The sequence below is a fragment of the Homo sapiens genome, chromosome 1, assembly GCF_000001405.40.
Source record: "Homo sapiens chromosome 1, GRCh38.p14 Primary Assembly".
NCBI lineage: Eukaryota > Metazoa > Chordata > Mammalia > Primates > Hominidae > Homo > Homo sapiens.
In genome coordinates, this window is record NC_000001.11 from 106,467,785 (window position 1) to 106,487,704 (window position 19,920).

Genomic DNA, 19,920 nt, shown 5'->3' on the forward strand with positions numbered 1-19,920 from the left:
CGGCCTGAGGGTCCATTACTACTATCATTGCCCATGCCATGCATGCTGCACAGGGGCCCGAGGTCCACCTCACCCACCAGGTTCACTGATGTCACTGCTCTCACTTGAACAAGATGCACAGAGGCCCAAGAATTGACCCAGCAGGACCCACTAACATTGATACTCATGCCAGCTTTAATGATTGTAAAATCATGCTACCCAAGGGCCAAATGATAGTAAAATATGGTACCCAAGGACCAAAAGATAGACATGCTTGGCCTGCTGCTGCCACCACTGGAGCCCCAAAACTGGACCACTTGGAACCCACATCCCCAAGAAAGCCTCACCACAGCCTCCACTACCAAGCATAGCCAAGCCACTGAGGAAACCACAGACACCACTGGCATTATTCACAGCTGAAAAATCATAAAAATACTACACTACTGCATTCATCCAGAATCATAGCTAAAGTACCCAATACAACAATCACCATAAACACATCTTCAGGAAGATATCTTTTCCCACAAAAGCCAATAAGAAAATTTGGAAGAAGCAACTCTTATGCCAGATGCACAAATATCAGCCTAAGGACACAAGGAACATGAAAAAGCAAGAAAGTATGACACCTCCAAAGGAATACAATAATTCCCCACCAGCAGATTTCAATGAAAAAGACATTTATAATATTCCCAAAAAGAAATTTAAAATAATGTTGTTAAAGAAGCTCAGTGAGATATAAAAGAACACAGATAAACATACAAAGAAATCAGAAAATTATTCAGGATATGAATGAGAAATTCACCAGAGAGATAGATATCATTTTAAAAAAGTAAACCAGAAGTACTGAAACTGAATAACTCATAAATAAAATAAAAAATACAATCAAGGGTGTCAACAATAGACTAAATCAAGCAGAATAATTTCAGAACTTGAAGACAAGTCTTTTGAAATAATTACACACACACAAAAGAAAAAAAAGAATAAATAAGGACAAATAAAGCCTAAGGAACATATGGGGCACCAAAAAGCAAACAAATATTTTGAATTTCGGTTGTTCCAGAAAATAAAGAGAAGGTCAAAAGAGCAATCAGAGGAGGTTGCTACCTAATGATAAAGAATTCATTTCAGCAAAAGAATATAACAATTCTAAATATATATGTACCTAACATCAGATACATAAGCAAATAATAATATATCTAAAGAGATAAGATACAATATAACAATACTTGCAAATGTCATCATTCCACTCTCAGCATTGGACAGCTCATCTAGACAGTAAATTAACAAGAAAAGATTGGATTCAAACTTTACACCAAATGGATCTAATAAACATTTACAGAATATTTTGTGCAAAGCTATAAAGTACACCTTCTTCTCATTGGCACATAAAACATTTTCCAGGGTAGACTATATGTTAGGACACAAAACAAACCTCAACAAATTTTTTAAAAATAAAATCACATCAAGTATTTTCTCAGACCACAGTGGAATAAAACTAGATGTCAAAAACAAGAGGAACTTTAGAAGCTATGTACAAATATATGGAAATTAAAGAACATGCTCCTGAACAACCACTGGGTCAATGAAGAAATTAAGAAAATTTTAAAATTTCTTCTTAAAACAAATAAAAGTGGAAACACATTATATCAAAACCTACAGAACACAGCAAAATCAATGCTAACAGGGAACAGTGTAGCAATAAATGCCCAAATGAGAAAAGTAGAATGATTTCAAATTAACCACCTAATATTCTTGCTTCTTGAGAATTTAGAAAAGCTAGAAAAACAGGAACAAACTGAATATTAGTAAAAGAAAGGAAAGAACAAAGATCAGAAGAGAACTAAACAAAATAAATACTACAAAAACAATACAAGGAATCAACAAATGTAAATTTGGTTTTTTGAAAAGATAAACAAAATTGTTAAACCACTACTAAATTAACCAAGAGAGAAATGATCCAAATAAACAAAATCAAAAATGAAAAAGGAGACATTATTATTGATGCCACAGAAACACAAAAGATTATCAGAGACTATTATGAACAACTATACACTAAGAAACTACAAAACCTAAAGAAAATAAAAATTCCTAGAAACGTACCATTTGTAAAATAGAACCACGAAAAAAAAATTAAACCTTAGTGAACCAATAAAAATGAGATTGAATTAGTAATAAAAAGTTTATCAACAAAGCAAAGCCCAGGACCCAAAGGCTTTACTGCTGTGGAAAACATAAACATATTTAAAAACCTAACACAACTTCTCCTTAAATTATTCCAAAAAATTGAAGAGGAGGAATTATTCTTAACTCATTCTATCAGGCCAGCATTACCCTGATACCAAAACCAGATAAAGACACAACAATAGCAACAATCCCTGATGAACATAGACATAAAAATTCTCATTGAAATACTAGGAAAACAAATCCAACAGCATATCAACACCATGATCAAGTGAGATTAATCTCTGGAATGCAAGGTTGGCTCAATATACCCAAATCAACTAATATGATAACATCAATAGAAAAAAGGACAAAATCATATAATCATCTCAACACATGTCAAAAAAAGTATTAGACAAAATTCAACATCCTTTCATGATTAAAACTCTCTATAAATGTGGAACAGAATAAACATTATTTTACATAATGAAGGCCATATATGACAAACCCACAGCTAACATTCTACTGAATGGAGAAAAGCTGAAAATCTTTAAGAATTTGAAAAAAAAGATCAAGCCCACTTTTACCACTGCTATGCAACATAGTACTGGAAGTCTTAGCCAGGCAGTTGAGCATGAGAAAGAAAAAAAAAAGGCATCCGAATTAAAAGAGAGGAAATCAAAATGTCCCTCTTTTCAGATGACATGATGTTATCGTTAATTCATGACATTTCAGGATAAAAAATCAACAGACAAAGATTAGTAGTATTGCTTTACACAAATAATGAACTATCTAGAAAATAATTCTAGAAGGCAATCTTTTTTACAATAGTTACAAAAATAAGGAAAGAAAATACATAGGAATATATTCAACTGAGATGTTGAATTATCAAAGCAATCTACAAATTCAGCGCAATCTTAATCTAAATATCAATGTCATTTTTCACAGAAACTGTTTAAAAATTCTAAACTTTGTATGGAGCCAAAAAAGAGCCCCAATGGCCAAAGACAAAGAAATCCTGAGGGGGGAAAATAAAGGCTGGAGATATCACACCACCTGACTTTAAAATATATTACAAAGTTATAGTGAGCAAAACAGCATGGTATTAGTATAAAAATACACACTTAATAGAGAACCCAGACATATAATTACATATTGACAACCAGCTGATTTTTAACAAAGACCCCAAGAACATATGTTGGGGAAATGACACCCTCTTCAATAAGTGGTGCTGGGAAAACTGATTATCCATATATAGAAGAATAAAACTTGAGCCCTTTCATACACTATATAAATAATCAACTCAAAGTGAACTAAAAACTTAAATGTAAGATCTGAAACTAAAAGTACTAGAAGAAAACCTAGAAGAAACACTTCAGTATAATGGTCTAGGCAATGATTCTATATCTATGACCTTAAAAGCCCAGGCAACAAAAACAAAAGTAGACACATGATTTTATATAAAACTAAAACACTCTGCACAACAAAGGAAACAATCAACAGAGTGAAGAGACAACTTATTGAATGAAAGCAGATACAAACTATTCATCCAACAGGAGACCAATATTGAGAATATACAAAGGACTTAAATGACTCAACAACAACAAAATAAATAATTTTATTAAAAAGCGGTTGAAGACCTTAGTAGATATCTCTCAGAAGAAGATAGAAGACATACAAATGGCCCACAGTTACATGAAAAAAATGCTCAGCATCATTAATCATCAGGGAAATGCAAATCCAAACCACAACAACATATCATCTTACCCAAGCTAGAATGGCTATTATCAAAAAGACAAGAAATAACAGATGTTGGAGAGAATGCAGAGAAAAGGGAACTCATATATTGTTGGTATAAATGTAAATTAGTGCAACAATTGTGGAAAACAGTATAGCAGCTTCTAAAAAAACTGAAAATAGAACTACCATAGGATACAGCAATCCCACTGCTTGGTATCTATCCAAAGAAAAGAAAATCAGAAATTTAAAGAATAACTGCATCCCCATGTTTATTGTAGCACTATTCATAACAGCAAAGATATGTAATCAACCTAAGTGTCCATCTACAGATAAGTGAATAAAGAAAATGTGGCCAGGCACGGTGGCTCATGTCTGTAATCCCAGCACTTTGGGGGGCCAAGGTGGGTGGATCATGATGCAGGAGATCAAGACAATCCTGGCCAACATGCTGAAACCCCGTCTCTACTAAAATACAAAAAATTAGCCAGGCGTAGTGATGTGCGCCTGTAGTCCCAGCTAGTCGGGAGACTGAGGCAGGGGAATCACTTGAACCCAGGAGGTGGAGGTTGCAGTGAGCTGAGGTCATGCCACTGAACTCCAACCTAGTGACATAGTGAGTACTCCGTCTCAAAAAAAAAAAAAAGGGGGTTTTATTTTTTCCCAAGATGGTGGTTGGAGGCAATGTTAGCATGCCTTACTCACTTGGAAGGACAGAATGGTGTGTAGAGATTCACAGTGTACACATTTTTTCAAGAAGCAATGCAGAAACTTAACAGGAAAACTGAAAGAATGCAAAGACCCTATGAAAGAAGTGTTGGGATGCAGCCTATTCCGTAAGACAGATGAAAAGCTGTTAGTTCCAAGAGTGTGAGAAGGGGAGAGAATGCCTCCAGAATACACATGCCCACCAGGGAATCTAAAAATACAAGCCACTGGAGAAGGAATTGACCCTACCCAGCGATGGAACTGATTTAGGGAGCAGCAAGAAATATAAAGGTAGAAGCAGCAGCAGAAAGTGACTTGCAGGCATTCCCGGTCTCCAGCATGAACTGAGGGAAGCCACACCTGAATCCATCTCACAGGGGACCTTGTGGAAGGCAGCCAACTAGCTCAGGTAGGGGATGCAGGGTGAAAGAAGTTCCCAACTGAATTTTGTGATTTTGTGATTTTGTGGTTTAATCTCAAGTGGGGACAAACTCCCAACCCCCTCAATAAGAAGCTGATTACAGTGGGCAAGGTGGCAAGTGGGGAATGCATTTCAGACATAAGTGCAGGAGCTGGGCACCAGGCTTTGCTGGCAGATGGGGAGGGGCATAGCCTAAAATTCATGGTTCCTATTTCTACAGGGAGTTTATGGCCTGGGACGGGTCTGACTCCCAGACTGCCTGGGTCTTAACCCAGTGCTGTTAGTGGAGCAATGCAGAAGTGAGATGAGCCTTGCTATCTGCCTGGGAGCTGGGTGAGAGTTACTGTGGCCTGTTACTCTCCACTCCTTTGCATTCTCTTTTATGTGGCAGAGGTAGTTATATTGAGCTCTGGATCATTACTCCAGCAGCCTGAGAACCATCTGCAACCCTCACAGGAGCCACGGATGGCCCCACTAAGGGAGTGTCGGAGTGCAGACCCACTTAAACTTGCCCACATCTGATTGTGCCCCTCCACCCACCTTGGTAGTGTAGGATATAAACTTTTGGGAATTTTGTAGCCCCTCCAACACCAGAGAAACAAAATTACCTCTCTTTGGCAACTTAGGTAGGGCAAGCTCATATCCCATTGCTACTAGCACAGCTGGTATTATTTTACAACCATCACCTCCTGGTTGGAGGCCAACCAACACAGTCCATTAAAGCACCTCTAGGTAGAATAATATTGTGCCCAGGAAGCAGAAAATAAATGAATGACTTCAGCTATCACCACTGCCTGCAACACCATGGCTAACCAGAGGTTCTGAGTCTGTCCACATGAAAAGTTCAATAAAATTATAACCAGCTTTAAAGGAAGCCAGCACACTAAACCTATCTACAATTAAGAAATCACACAGAGTCTATGTCACTTTCCTGACACCTCCAGCAGAGCTGGTGCTGGTACCCACTGCTGGGAGATTTGAAAACAGGTTACATCAGTGGATCCCTTGAAGACATTGCCCAGTGCCAGCACAGAGTGTGGCAGCCCCACTGGATGGCTAGACAAGGAGAGCAAGAGCAGTCACTGTAGTCTGGTTGTCAGAAACTCCTACACCTAGAAGAAGAGGGAGAGCACATCAAGAGAAAACCCTGTGGGATAAAGGAATCTGGATGGCAGTCCTTGAGTTCCATATCTTTCCACTGCTAGGAAGTTTCTTATAGCAGAGTCACAATTGAAGTGCTAGGCACAGCCAGGAAAGTCTGCATCTCTACCCCAACAGTCAGGCAACCTTCATGTTCATGAAAGGTCTTGGAGAAGAGATTCTTGTAGTTCCCTTGTCCACCACTGTAGACATAGTTGGGGCTTTTCCCATAGGAACTCAGCATGGATGCACCTATAGACAGCATTCCTGGAATAATTCAGGGTGATTGCATCCCCCCAGGAGGAGCACTGTCCAGGTTCAGGCTTGCATGAGAGTCAGAGTCACAGTTCCTTTCTACTTGGAACATCAACATTCCTATAGACAAAAAGAGGTACCTGTCTGATCTGAATAGCCAGGACACTGGGACAGGAGGGAGGCTGGGAGGTGTATAGCTTTCCTGCTGGCTTGGCAGGGGAGCTGAGGTAGCTTCCACTCTTCTCCCTGGTAAAATCTCAGTGCATCTAACTGAGAGCTCCCTCAGCCACCTTCATCAAGGCTGGAAACTCTGTCCACCATTGGCTATTGCATCTACCCACCTGCTTTAGCTACATCCAGTTTCTACCCAGGGATACTGACCTAGATCTCTTGCTGGCCTAAATCCTAAACCATCAACTCATTACATAAAAATACTGGGGAAAAAATTAAGTGAATAAAAAAGTACACAACACAGGGGAATGAGATAAGCTTTAAGATATTCAGGCTATTTCAACCCCATAGGAGACAGTGAACTTGCCCACACACCAAGTACATAAGTACTACAACCAGCATTTGAGAAAGTCAGCTCACAAAGACTCTCTATAACCAAGGTACTCATACAGAGTCAAACCAGGCACCAAGAAGCAAACTAGGGTATAATAAACTATACACATTAAAATCACATCTTTAAGAGAGAAAAAAATTTAAAAACACAGTCAAATAAAAAATAAATTCAAGAATAACTGAAAAAATACTCTACTCAAATGAGATGAAACTAGAAAAGTAATTCTGTTAATATAACATAATAGGGTTCTATGATATTCTCAAACGATCACGCTAGCTCCCCAGCAATGAATCCAAACCAAGATGAAAACTTTGAAATACCAGATAAAGAATTCAGAAGATTGATTACTAAGCTGCTCAAGGAGATACCAGAGAAAGGTGAAAACCAAAATAAAGAGATTTAAAAAACAATTCAGGATATCAATAAAAAATTTCCAGAGAGGCAGATATCATAAAGAAAAACCAAATAGAACTTCTGGAAATGAAAGACATACTTAGGCAACTACAAAACACTGGAAAATTTCAATAATAAACTAGAACAAGTAGAAAAAATAATTTCAAATATCAAAGACAAGGCTTTTGAATTAACCTAATTAGACAAAGATAAAGAAAAAAGGATCAAAAGAAATGAACAAATTTTCCAAGAAATATGGGATTATGTAAAACAGTCAAACCTAAGAATTGTTGATCTTCCTGAGGGAAAAGAGAAATCTAAAAGGTTGGAAAACTTATTTGAAGAAATAAATGAAGAAAACTTTCCTGGCCTTGCTAGAGATTTAGATATTCAAACATAAGAAGCTCAAAGAACTCCTGGGAAATTTATCGCAAATATCACCTTGGCATATGTCACACACCTTATCACCAAGGCACATAGTTATCAGGCTATCTTAAAGTTGACACAAAGAAAGAATTCTAAGAGACCTGAGACAAAAGCATCAGGTAATCTATAAAGGAAAACCTATCAGTCTAACAGCAGACTTCTCAGCAGAAACCTTACAAGCTAGAAGGGATTGGGATCTTATCATGAGCCTCTTTAAACAGAGTAATTGTCAGTCAAGAATTCTGTGTCCAGCAAAACTAAGCTTCATAAATGAAGGAGAGAAGTCTTTTTTAGAAAAATGCTGATGGAATTTGCCACTACAAAAACAGCACTACAAAAAATACTAAAAGGAGTTATAAATCTAAAAACAAAAGCTTGTTAGGCACCAAAGTAGAACCTCCTGAAAGCGTGAAACTCACAGAGCCTATAAAACTATAACACAATGAAAAAAGCACGCTATCTAGGTGACAACTAATATGATAAATACAACAGTAACTCACATCTGAATATTAACATCGAATGTAAATGGCCTAAATGTTCCACTTAAAACATATAGAATGGCAGAATGGATTAAAAAAATCTTCCAACCAAAAATCTGCTGTCTTCAAGAGGCTAGCCTAACCCATAATAATTCATACGAACTCATGGTAAAGGGATGAAAAAAGATATTCTGTGGCTGGGCACGATGGCTCATGCCTGTAATCCTAGCACTTTGGGAGGCGAGGTGGGTGGATCACCTGAGGTCAGGAGTTCAAGGTGGTTGGGTCACCTGAGGTCAGGAGTTCGAGATCAGCCTGGCCAACATGGAAAAACCCCATCCCTACTAAAAATACAACAATTAGCTAGGCATGGTGGTGCATATCTATAATCCCAGATACTAGGGAGGCTGAAGCAGGAGAATTACTTGAACCCAGGAGGCAGAGGTTGCAGTGAGCCAAGATTGTGCCACTGTACCTCAGCCTGGGAGACAGAGCAAGGCTCTGTATCTATCTATCTATCTATCTATATTATATATATATATATATATATATATATATATATATATATATATATATTCCATGCAAATGGTAGCCAAAAGTGATCAGGAGTATCAAGTCTTATAACAGAAAAAAACAGGACTTAAAACAACAACAATAAGAAAATAAAAAGACAACATCATTTATCATTTGATACATAATAAAAGGATCAGTCCAATTAGAAGACATTGCAATCATACATTTACATGCACCTAAATCTGGAGCTCCCAGATTTATAAAATTATTACTTCTAGACCTAAGAAATGAGATACATAGCAACACAATAACAGTGGGACACTTCTATCCATTTACAGCACTAGACAGCCCATCAAGACAGAAAGTCAGCAAAGAAACAATGGAATTAAACTATACCCTAGACCAAATTGGCTTAATAAATATTTACAGAACATTCTTCCCAACAACTGGAAAATATACACTCTTCTCATCAGCACATGGAACATTCTCCAAGGTAGACCACGTGCTAGGTCACAAAGCAAGTCTCAATTAATGTAAGACAATTAAACTTATATAAAGTATCTTCTCAGACTAAGTGGAATAAAACTGAAAATCAACTCCAAAAGGAACCCTCAAAACTATACAAATAAATGGAAATTAAATAATCTGCTTTTGAATTATTTCGGGGTTAACAATGAAATCAAGATGAAAATTTATAAATTATTTAGAATCAATAATAGTGACAAAATTAATCAAAACTTCAGGAATACAGAAAAAGAAGTTCTAAGAGGAAAGTGCATAGCATTAAATGCCTATATCAAAAAGTCTGAAAGAGCATAATTTGAAAACCTGATGTTGAAATCTCAAGGAACTAGAGAAACAACAACAAACTAAACCCAAAGCAAGCAGAATGAAACAAAAAAAGATCAGAGCAAAACTGAATGAAACTGAAACAAAAAATATAAGATAGATGAAATAAAAAGCTGGTTCTTACAAAAGATAAACAAACTTAATAGGCGTTTAGTGAGATTAACCAAGAAAAGAAGATCCAAATAAGCTCAATTAGAAATGAAACTGGAGATGTTACAGTCAATACCACAGAAATACAAAATATCATTCAAGGCTACTGTGAATACCTTTATGCATACAAACTAGAAAATCTAGAGGAAATGGATAAATTCCTGGAAACACACAACCCTCCTAGATTAAATCAGTAAGAAATAGAAACCATGAACAGACCAATAACAAGCAGCAAGATTAAATCAGCAATTTAAAAATTGCCAGCAAAAAATTTCAAGACCAGAAGGATTCATTGCTGAGTTCTACCAGATATTCAAAGAAGAATTGGTACCAATCCTACTAAAACTATTTTAAAAATAGAGAATGAATGAATCCTCCCTTAAATCATTCCATGAAGCCAGTATCACCCTAATCCCTAATAACAAAACTAGGAAAAGACATAACAAAAAAGAAAACTACAAACAAATATTCCTGATGAACATAGATACAAAAATCATTGATAAAATACTAGCAAACCAAATTAAACAGAGTATCAGAAAGATAATACATCACGATCAGGTAGGTTTCATTCCAAGGATGCAGGGATGGTTTAACATACACAAGTCAAAAACTGTGATAAATTATGCAAACAGAATTAAAAGAAAAAATCATATGATAATCTCAATAGATGCAGAAAAAGCATTTGATAAAATCCAGCATCTTGTTATGATAAAAAGCCTCAACACATATGGCATAAAAAGGACATACCTCAAAATAGTAAAAGCCATTGATATGGTTTGGCTCTGGGTTCCCACCCAAATCTCATCTTGTAGCTCCCATAATTCCGAGGTGTTGTGGGAGGGAACACGAGAAAGACGATTGAGTCGTGGGGGCGGGTCTTTCCTGTGCTATTCTCACAACAGTGAATCAGTCTCAAGAAATCTAATCATTTTAAAAATGGACGTTTTCCTGCAGAAGTTCTCTCTTTGCCTGTCCCCATCCATGTAAGACATGACTTGCTCCTCCTTGCCTTCTACCATGATTGTGAGGCCTCCCCAGCCATGTGGTACTGTATAAGTCCATTAAACCTCTTTTTCTTCTCAGTCTTGGATATGTCTTTATCAGAAGCATGAAAATGAACTGATATAGTAAATTGGTACCAGGAGTGGAGTGCTGATGGAAAGATACCTGAAAATGTGAAAGCAACTTTGGAACTGGGTAACATGCAGTAGTTTAAGCAGTTTGAAGGGCTCAGAAGAAGACAGAAAAATGTGGGAAAGTTTGGAACTCCCTAGAGACTTGTTGAATCTCTTTGACCAAAATGCTGATGATGATATGGGCAATGAAATCCAGGCTGAGGTGGTCTCAGATGGAGATAAGAAACTTGTTAGGAACTGGAGCAAAGGTGACTCTTGTTACATTTTAGCAAAGAGGCTTGTGGCATTTTGCCCCTTCCTTAGAGATTTGTGGAACTTTGAACTTGAGAGAGATGATTTAGGGTACCTGGCAGAAGAAATTTCTAATAAGCAAAGCATTCAAGAGGTGACTTGGGTGCTGTTAAAGGCATTCAGTTTTAAGAGAGAAACAGAGCATAAAGTTTTAGAAAATTTGCAGCCTGACAATGCAATAAAAAAGAAAATCCCATTTTCTGAAGAGAAATCCAAGCCAGCTGCAGAAATTTTCACAAGTAACAAGGAGGTGAATGTTAATCCCGAAGATAATAGGGAAATTTTCTCCAGGGCATGTCAGAGGTCTTCATGGCAGCGCCTCCCATCACAGACCTGGAGGCCTAGGAGGAAAAAGTGGTTTTGTGGGCTATGACCCTGGTCCCTGTTCTGTGTGCAACCTAGGGACTTGGCACCCTCTGTCCCAGCCACTCTGGCCATGACCAAAAGGGGCCAAAATAGAGATTGGGCCATGGCTTCAGAGGGTGCAAGCCTCAAGCCTTGGCAGCTTCCATGTGATGTTGAGCCTTGCAGTGCACAGAAGACAAGAATTGGGGTTTGGGAACCTCCAGCTAGATTTCAGAGAATGTATGAAAATGCCTGGATGTCTAGGCAGAAGTTTTCTGCAGAGGTGGGGCTCTCATGGAGAACTTCTGTTAGGGCAGTGAAGAAGGGAAATATGGGGTCAGAGCCCCCACACAGAGTCCCGACTGGGGCACTGTCTAGTGGAATTGTGAGAAGAGGGCCACTGTCCTCCAGATCCCAGAATGACAGATTCACTGACAGCTTGCACCATGCATCTGGAAAAGCTGCAGACATTCAATGCCAGCCCATGAAAGGAGCCAAAAGGGAGGCTGTACCCTGCAAAGCCACAGGGGCAGAGCTTCCCAAGACCTTGGGAACCCACCTCTGGCATCAGTGCGACCTAGCTGTGAGACATGGAGTTGAAGGAGATCATTTTGGAACTTTAAGATTTGGCTGTCCTGCTAGATTTTGGACTTGCATGGGACCTGTAGTAGGACAGTTTCTCCCATTTGGAACAGCTGTATTTACCCAATGCTTTTATCCCCATTCTAGCTAGGAAGTAACTAACTTGCTTTTGATTTTACAGGCTCATAGGCAGAAAGGACCTGCCTTGTCTTGTATAAGATTTTGGAATGTGGACTTATGAGTTAATGCTGAAATGAATTGAGACTTTAGGGGACTGTTGGGAAGGCATGATTGGTTTTCAAATGTGAGGACATGAGATTTAGGAGGGGCCAGGGTAGGAATGACATGGTTTGGCTCTGTGTCCCCACCCAAATCTCATCTTGTAACTCCCATAATTCCCACATGTTGTGGGAGGTACCCAGCGGGAGATGATTGAATCACAAAGTAGGTCTTTTCTGTGCTGTTCTCATGATAGTGAATGAGTCCGACAAGATCTGCTGGTTTTAAAAAAGAGTCTCCCTGCATAAGCTTTTTCTGCCTGCCACCATCTATGTAAGACACGACTTGCTCCTCCTTGCCTTCCACCATGATTGTGAGGCCTCCCCAGCCATGTGGAACTGTAAGTCCATTAAACCTCTTTTACTTCCCAGTCTTGGGTATGTCTTTATTAGCAGAAAAAAAAAAAAGCAGACTAATACAGCCATCTATGACAAACAAATGGGTAATATCATACTGAATGAGGAAAAGTTGAAAGCATTCTCCCTAAGAACTGAAACAAGACGAGGATGCCCACTTTCCTCTCTTCTATTCAACATAATACTGGAAGTCCTCGCCTAGGCAATCAGGCAAGTGAAAGAAACAAAGGGCAATCAACTGGAAAAGAGTAAGTCAAACTGTCAGTGTTTACCAATGACATGATTGTATACCTATAAAACCCTAAATACTCATCCAAAAGGCTCCTAGATCTGATAAATGAGCCTAGTAAAATCTCAGGTTACAAAATCAATGTACGCAAGTCAGTAGCACTGCTGTACTCCAATAATGACCAAACTGAGAAAAAAATCAAGAAGTCAATTGCTTTTACAACACCTGCACAAAAAGAAAAAAACAATCTAGGAATACATTTAAACAAGGAGGTGAAAGATCCCTACAAGGAAAACTACAAAACACACTGAAAGACATTACAGATGACACTAACAAATAAAAACATTTCCCATGCTCATTAATGAGAAGAACCGATATTATGAAAATAATGATATTGCCCAAAGCAATCTACAGATTCAATGCAATTCCTATGAAAATATCATCATTATTTTTCACAGAAATAGAAAAAAAAATCTTAAAATTCATATGGAACCAAAGAAAGCCCAAATAGCTAAAGCAACACTAACCAAAAAGAACAAATCTGGAGGCATAACATTACCAGACTTCAAATTATACTACAAGGCTATATTTACCAAAACAGCATGGTACTGGTATAAAAACAGGCACATAGATCAATGGGAAAGAATAGAGAACACAGAAATAAAGCCAAGTACTTACTGCCAATGGATCTTTGACAAAGCATACAAAAATATAAATTGGAGAAAGATCCCTATTTGATAAATCATGCTAGGAAATATGGCAAGCTAATGTAGAAGAATAAAAAAGTATCCCCAACTCTTGCCTTATACAAAAATCAACTCATGATGGATCAAAGACTTAAATCTAAGACCTGAAACCATAAACATTCTAGAAGATAACATTGGAAAATCTCTCCTGGACATTGGCTTAGGCAAATAATTCATTACTAGGACCCTAAAAGATAATGCAACCAAAGAAAAAATAAATAAATGGGACCTAATTAAACTAACAAGCTTCTGCACAGGAAAAGAAAGAATCAGCAGAGTAAACAGACAACCTACAGAGTGGGTGAAAATATTAGCGAACTATGCACTCAATAAAGGACTAGTATCCAGAATCTACAAGGAACTCAAATCAGCAAGAAAAAATAATATCTCATCAAAAAGTGGGCAACGAACACAAAAAGACATTTCTCAAAAGAAGATACACCAACAGCCAGCAAACATGAAAAAAGTGCTCAATATCACCAATCATCAGGGACATTCAAATTAAAACCACTATGAGATACCACCTCACGCTTCCAAGAATGGCCATTAATTAAAAAGTCAAAAAACAATAGATGTTGTGGATGTGGTGAAAAGGGAACAGTTTTACACTGTTTTCAGGAATGTAAACTAGTACAACAACTATGGAAAATAATATGGAGATTCCTTAAAGAATTTAAACTAGATCTACCATTTGATCCAGTAATCCTACTGTTAGGTATCTACCCAAAGGAAAAGAAGTGTTCATATGAAAAAGACCCAGGCACATAGATGCTTATAGCAGCACAATTCACAATTGCAAAGACATGGAACAAACCTAAGTGCCCATTAACCAATGAGTGGAAAACCAAAACGTGGTATACATACACCACGGAATACTACTCGGCCATTGAAATGAATGAAATAATGTCTTTTGCAGCAACTTGGATGGAGCTGGAGGTCATTATTCCAAGTAACTCAGGAATGGAAAACCAAATACCATAAATTCTCATTTATAGGAGGGAGCTAAGCTATGAGGATGCAAAGACATACAGAGTGATGTAATGAACTTTGTGGACTCAGATAGGGTATGTTGGGAGGGGGTTAGGGATAAAGTACTACATATTGGGTATAGTATACTGCTCGAGTGACAGGTGCACTAAGAATCTCAGGAATTACCACTGAAGAATTTATTCAAATAACCAAACCCCCAGAATAATTGAAATAAAATAATAATATTAATTAATAAAAAGAAAATGTGTCATATGTACATAATGGAATACTGTTTAGTAATTGAAAAGATAAAGATAAAATCATGTCATTTGCAGCAGCATGAATGGAACTGGAAATAATTATTTTTTTCTTTCTTTCTTTTTTATTTTTCCATAGACAGAGTCTCACTCTGTCAAACCAACTGTAGTGTAGTGACACAATCGTTGCACTTCGGTGAGCTAATTTTTTTAATTTTTGTAGAGATGAGGGTTTCACTATGTTGCCCACGCTGGATAAACTATTATCTAAAGTGAAATAAGCCAGGCACAAAAATGCAAACAATATATGTTCACATTCATATGTGGGAGCTAAAATAATTGATCTCATGGAGGTAGAGAGTAGAGTGCTGTTTACCAAAAGTTGCAAAGGGTGAGTGTGGGTGAGGTAGGGTGAGAGAGGCTGGTTAATGGGTACAAACGTACAGTTAGATAAAAGGAATAAGATCTACAAGTCTGATAGTAGAGTAGGGTGACTATAGTTAACAATAATGTATTTCATATTTCAAAGGAGCTAGAAGAAAAGTCTTGAAATGTTCCCAATACACAGAAATGATAAGTACATGAGGCGATGGATATTCTAAATTTCTTGACTTGATCATTACACATCCTATGCATATAAAAAATATTTCATGTACCCCATAAACATGTAAAACTATTACGTATCAATAAAGAAATGCAAGGTACTATGTATTTAACAGGAAAAGCCAAGAAACAGAAAATGTCCCCTGAAAATTAAAAACAAGGATCAGTGAAATTATATACTATTACTTGTAATAATAATGGCAATGGAAAGTTTGGAAGATTTATGGAATTTCTTGAAAAGAAGTATAAAACTGTTTTTACAATGTTAAAAGCAGGCTGGGTGTGGTGGCTGACACCTGTAATCCCAGCACTTTGGGAGGCCAAGATCGACAGATCACTTGAGGTCAGGAATTCAAGACCAGACTGGCCAACATGGTGAAAAAACCCTATCTCTACTAAAAGTACAAAAATATTAGCTCAGTGTGGTGGCACATGCTTGTAATCCCAGCTATTCGGGAGGCTAAGGCAGGAGAATTGTTTGAACCTGGGAGGCAGAGGTTGCAGTGAGCCGAGATCATGCTACTACTGCATTCCAGCCTGGGTGACACAGCAAGACTCTGTCTCAAAAAACAAATAAATAAATAAAAGCAAAATAATGAGTTTTTAAATTAGAAGTTTCATCAAGAGTTTCCCCATCCCACTAATAGAATAAAGAAAAATAATCACATAACAGAATTTCACAACACTGAGGCATGTATCCGAATTGAAAGTCCAACAATTACTGATTTCAGAACTCCTGTGAAAGACAGGCAGATGGTATAGTGACTATGCATACGTAATCTAATGCCAGATTGCCTGGATTCAGTGCTCATCTTTACCACTTGTCAGTTGCAGGAATTTGGACCATTCACTGGACATGTTGGTTTTCTATCTCCTATCTGTAAAATGGGTGTGATATTGATACTATCTCTATTCTAAGGCTATTCTGAAGATTAAATTATTTAAATGCACACAAAGCTCTTGCAGTAGTATCTTAGGGAAAGAAATCAAGAATTTATCACTATTATGATTATCATAAAAGCTTTGGCGGTAGTGCGGGGAAAGGTTATACGTAAAATTTTGGGAATTAGAATGATGTCAGGTATTATCTACATCACAAGACGTTAGAGGAAAAAAATAAACAAATGTCTGCATAAGTGTAAGAGGAAAATGTTTTTAACTTTATCCAGAAGCCTTTATTCAGCCAAGCTAACCCTTATGCGTGAGGGACAACAAGAATATTTTTAGGACTTCAGAATTGTCACATTGTTGTTGTTGTTGTTTTGCTGTTTTTTTTTTTTTTTTTTTTTAACCACCCATGCATTCTTTTTCAAGAAACTCCTGGAGGACATGCTCCTTGAAAATAAGAAAGTAAATGAAAAAAGAAGATATTGGGAGAGCAGAATCAAGAGCTCCAACAAAAGTGAGTAATAAAAGATAACCCAGGAGAATAGCTATGCCAGCAGCCTACAGAAAACAGTGTAAATTGATGAGTGGGTCAGAGGTTTACAGGAAAGAAACTGTTAGAAAAAGAAATAGAACCAATAAATTATTTCATGTATTGGAAAATATCATTGAGAAGAGTTTAATCCATGATCCTGAGCATTATGAAAAATTTACTGTAAGTAAAAACTAAGTGAACTTTTAAAAAATGCATAATTACTGCAAGAAAACAATAATATATATAAGGAAAAAATCATATTGTATTATATGACTCAGCAGTGAACCACATTTAAAAAATCATGATAAGTATGTATTTAATAAAATCTATGTTATAACTCTTCCTAGGAGGGAAAAAGGTGGTGAAAGAAATTCTTATCTCCTGTAATAGTTTATTGTTGGCTAACATCAGGTGCTTAGGAACTAAGAAAGCAGTACAAGTTTAGTATTTAGAAATAGGGTGGTAAATAACAGAAGAAAACATTAAACAATTTGAAATGGCTCACTGAGGAGCGTGACAGGGTCAGGGAGAATGAAACTGTGTTCTCAGGATTTTGTAGTAGGACTTGAAATTTTAAATGGTGCGCCTAAATGGATACAATTGTACATTCATTTTTAAATAGCATTTCTTTAAAAACTTCCCACACTCTAATGTAAGGCTCCTTCAACCCTAGAACTCCTGCACCTCAGCTAAAATTCCATATGTTAGTTTTACCAACTCTTTCCCTAACCAGTTTTTAGGCTTCATATTCTCTTATAAATTTATTTTTATCTCGTTTCAGGACCTGCCAAAGAACTTCTGGGTTATAATAGCAAGTCTTTCCCATTAAAGCTACTGGCAGAGATGCCCAAAATATTCCTGATTGATTGAAGCCTCATTTGCTAGTTCCTCACTTTCGGGAACACTAAATTCCTTTGCAAATTAAAAACAAACACAGCTGAACTATTTTATGTTTAATTTAGCCTAGTCCAGATTAACGGAAATTCAGGCAGCTTGGAAACCTTGGGAACTTTTCTGGGATAATGGTAAAAGCTATACATATTGGCACCAAAGCCTCTTCTTTAAATTCTTTCCAATGCAACATTTTAAATTCCAAAACTCCAGGTTTTTAGAGTATGTTTCTATGTTTCATGTTTGTAGGGGGCATTGAGAGAGTAGACATAAAGAGTGATAATAAAATGGTTATTTTGAAAAAGAAAACGCCTCTAAAAAATACATCAGATTTATCAAACTTGCTTTACAAGTTTTTTTCCACAAATTAACTTTGTCACAAAATATACGTAATTGTTAACATAAGGGTCAGGAGAAAGTATTTGAAGCAGCTGAAATGACATTACCTGCTTATTTCCCCCTTACCATATTAAACACACATAAACGCTTTCCTTTGATTTCAAAACTACAGCTGGGATGTGCAGCTTATTTCTTGGAACTGGCAATGTTTAAGACTTTAGCTGTCTAATGTAATCTACCCCATGCCTTTGCACAAGAAGGAAAACAAATAAAAACAGAAACAAAAACCCTAACCCTACTTTGTCATGCTTATACAACATGGTCTGGGGAGCTATTACAGTCTCAAACAGTGCATGCCCGTGTCACAGAATGCCTTTATAATATTTTTTTGTCCTGACTTTTGGAGCTTTTTTTTTAAATATATATATTAACTCTCTTTGCTGCAGCTATTAGGCTCTCCTACTACAATTTATTCCCAGAACACTGCCCAGTGGAAGAATAGCCAAAGTATCTTCTAAATTATAGGATTCTAGTTTCTCCATTATTCCAGGATGTTTGTATATCGCCATTTGCCCAAGAGAGCTCCTATTCATATGTTTTCCAGCAAAATTTAAAATAGCAATTAATTTCATTAAGAAAATTGCCTGATTCAGATTCTAGAAGATGTTGCATATCTAAGGAGGTGGTGGATTCAAGTCAGGTCCTTAGTTTTTAAGGGGTGAAATATGTAAAGAACTTAGGGCCCAGCAAAAGAAACAGTCTAAAGTTTGGAAAGATAAGAAACAATCACCTGAAGTTAAGTAAATGCAGATTAAAAATATGAGTTTAGAGAATTTTTTAAACAAGTGTACCAATAAGAAACACACTAATTAATTGGTTACTGACATCTGACTTAGACAAAGCTGTTTGCACCCTGGTTTGAGATTCATAGCTTCCAGTTGGGGACATCTTCCAATTGAGGACAACAGATATACTGTAACTCCTACGTTTTGACTAAACAGAGGCAGGAATTTAACTTCACAAGTTATCTTGTTAAGAATCACATTAAGAGCTGACAAACTATAACCATACAGAACTTGAGTTGAGCAGCAATTTGATGTCATATTGGCATCTTATTCTACATTCAGCAGCTATGAAATCTGACATAGGAGTACAGAGGAGAGTGAGTCACTCGTGCTAGATTAGAGTCTGGTGGTAAAGGAGAGCTTTCTGAAGAAAGATTTTTTCTCAATTGAATGAGGTGAAATACATATAATAAAAAATTTACCATATTAACTCTTCTGACCCTCACTGAGGGTTTAGGTCAATGGTGTAAATTATATTCATAATACTATACAAACATCACTATTATCCATCCTTAGAAATCTTTCACTCTTGCAAAACTGAAACTCTGTATGCATTAAGCCATAATTCCCTATTATTCCCTCCCACAAGCCCCAGGAACTACTATTCTACTGTCTGCTCCTATAGTTTTGATTACTCTAAGTATGTGGCTTATTTCACTTAGCATAGTCGTCAAGTTTCATTCAACTTACGGTATATGCCGGAATGTCCTTTCCTTTAAAGGCTGAGAAATAGTCCATTGTGTGTATATACCACATTTTGCTTAGCCATTCTTCTGGTCACTGAACTCTTGAGCTGCTTCTAGGTTTCAGCTATTGTGCTATGAATATGGGTGTACAAATATCTTTTGAGATCCTGC

At 37.0% G+C, this 19,920-nt stretch overlaps 1 long non-coding RNA gene across 2 annotated transcripts in view; it reads left to right on the plus strand.

The window, feature by feature from the left end:
* Positions 1–17,896, plus strand: part of LOC105378887 (uncharacterized) — a 37,615-nt gene extending 19,719 nt beyond the window's left edge. For both annotated transcript variants that reach the window (XR_947674.1, XR_947672.1), the window contains 2 exons: positions 16,883–16,970; positions 17,770–17,896. This is a non-coding gene — a long non-coding RNA (uncharacterized LOC105378887). The remainder of the gene's footprint in view (positions 1–16,882; positions 16,971–17,769) is intronic.
* The last annotated feature ends 2,024 nt before the right edge of the window (positions 17,897–19,920 follow it).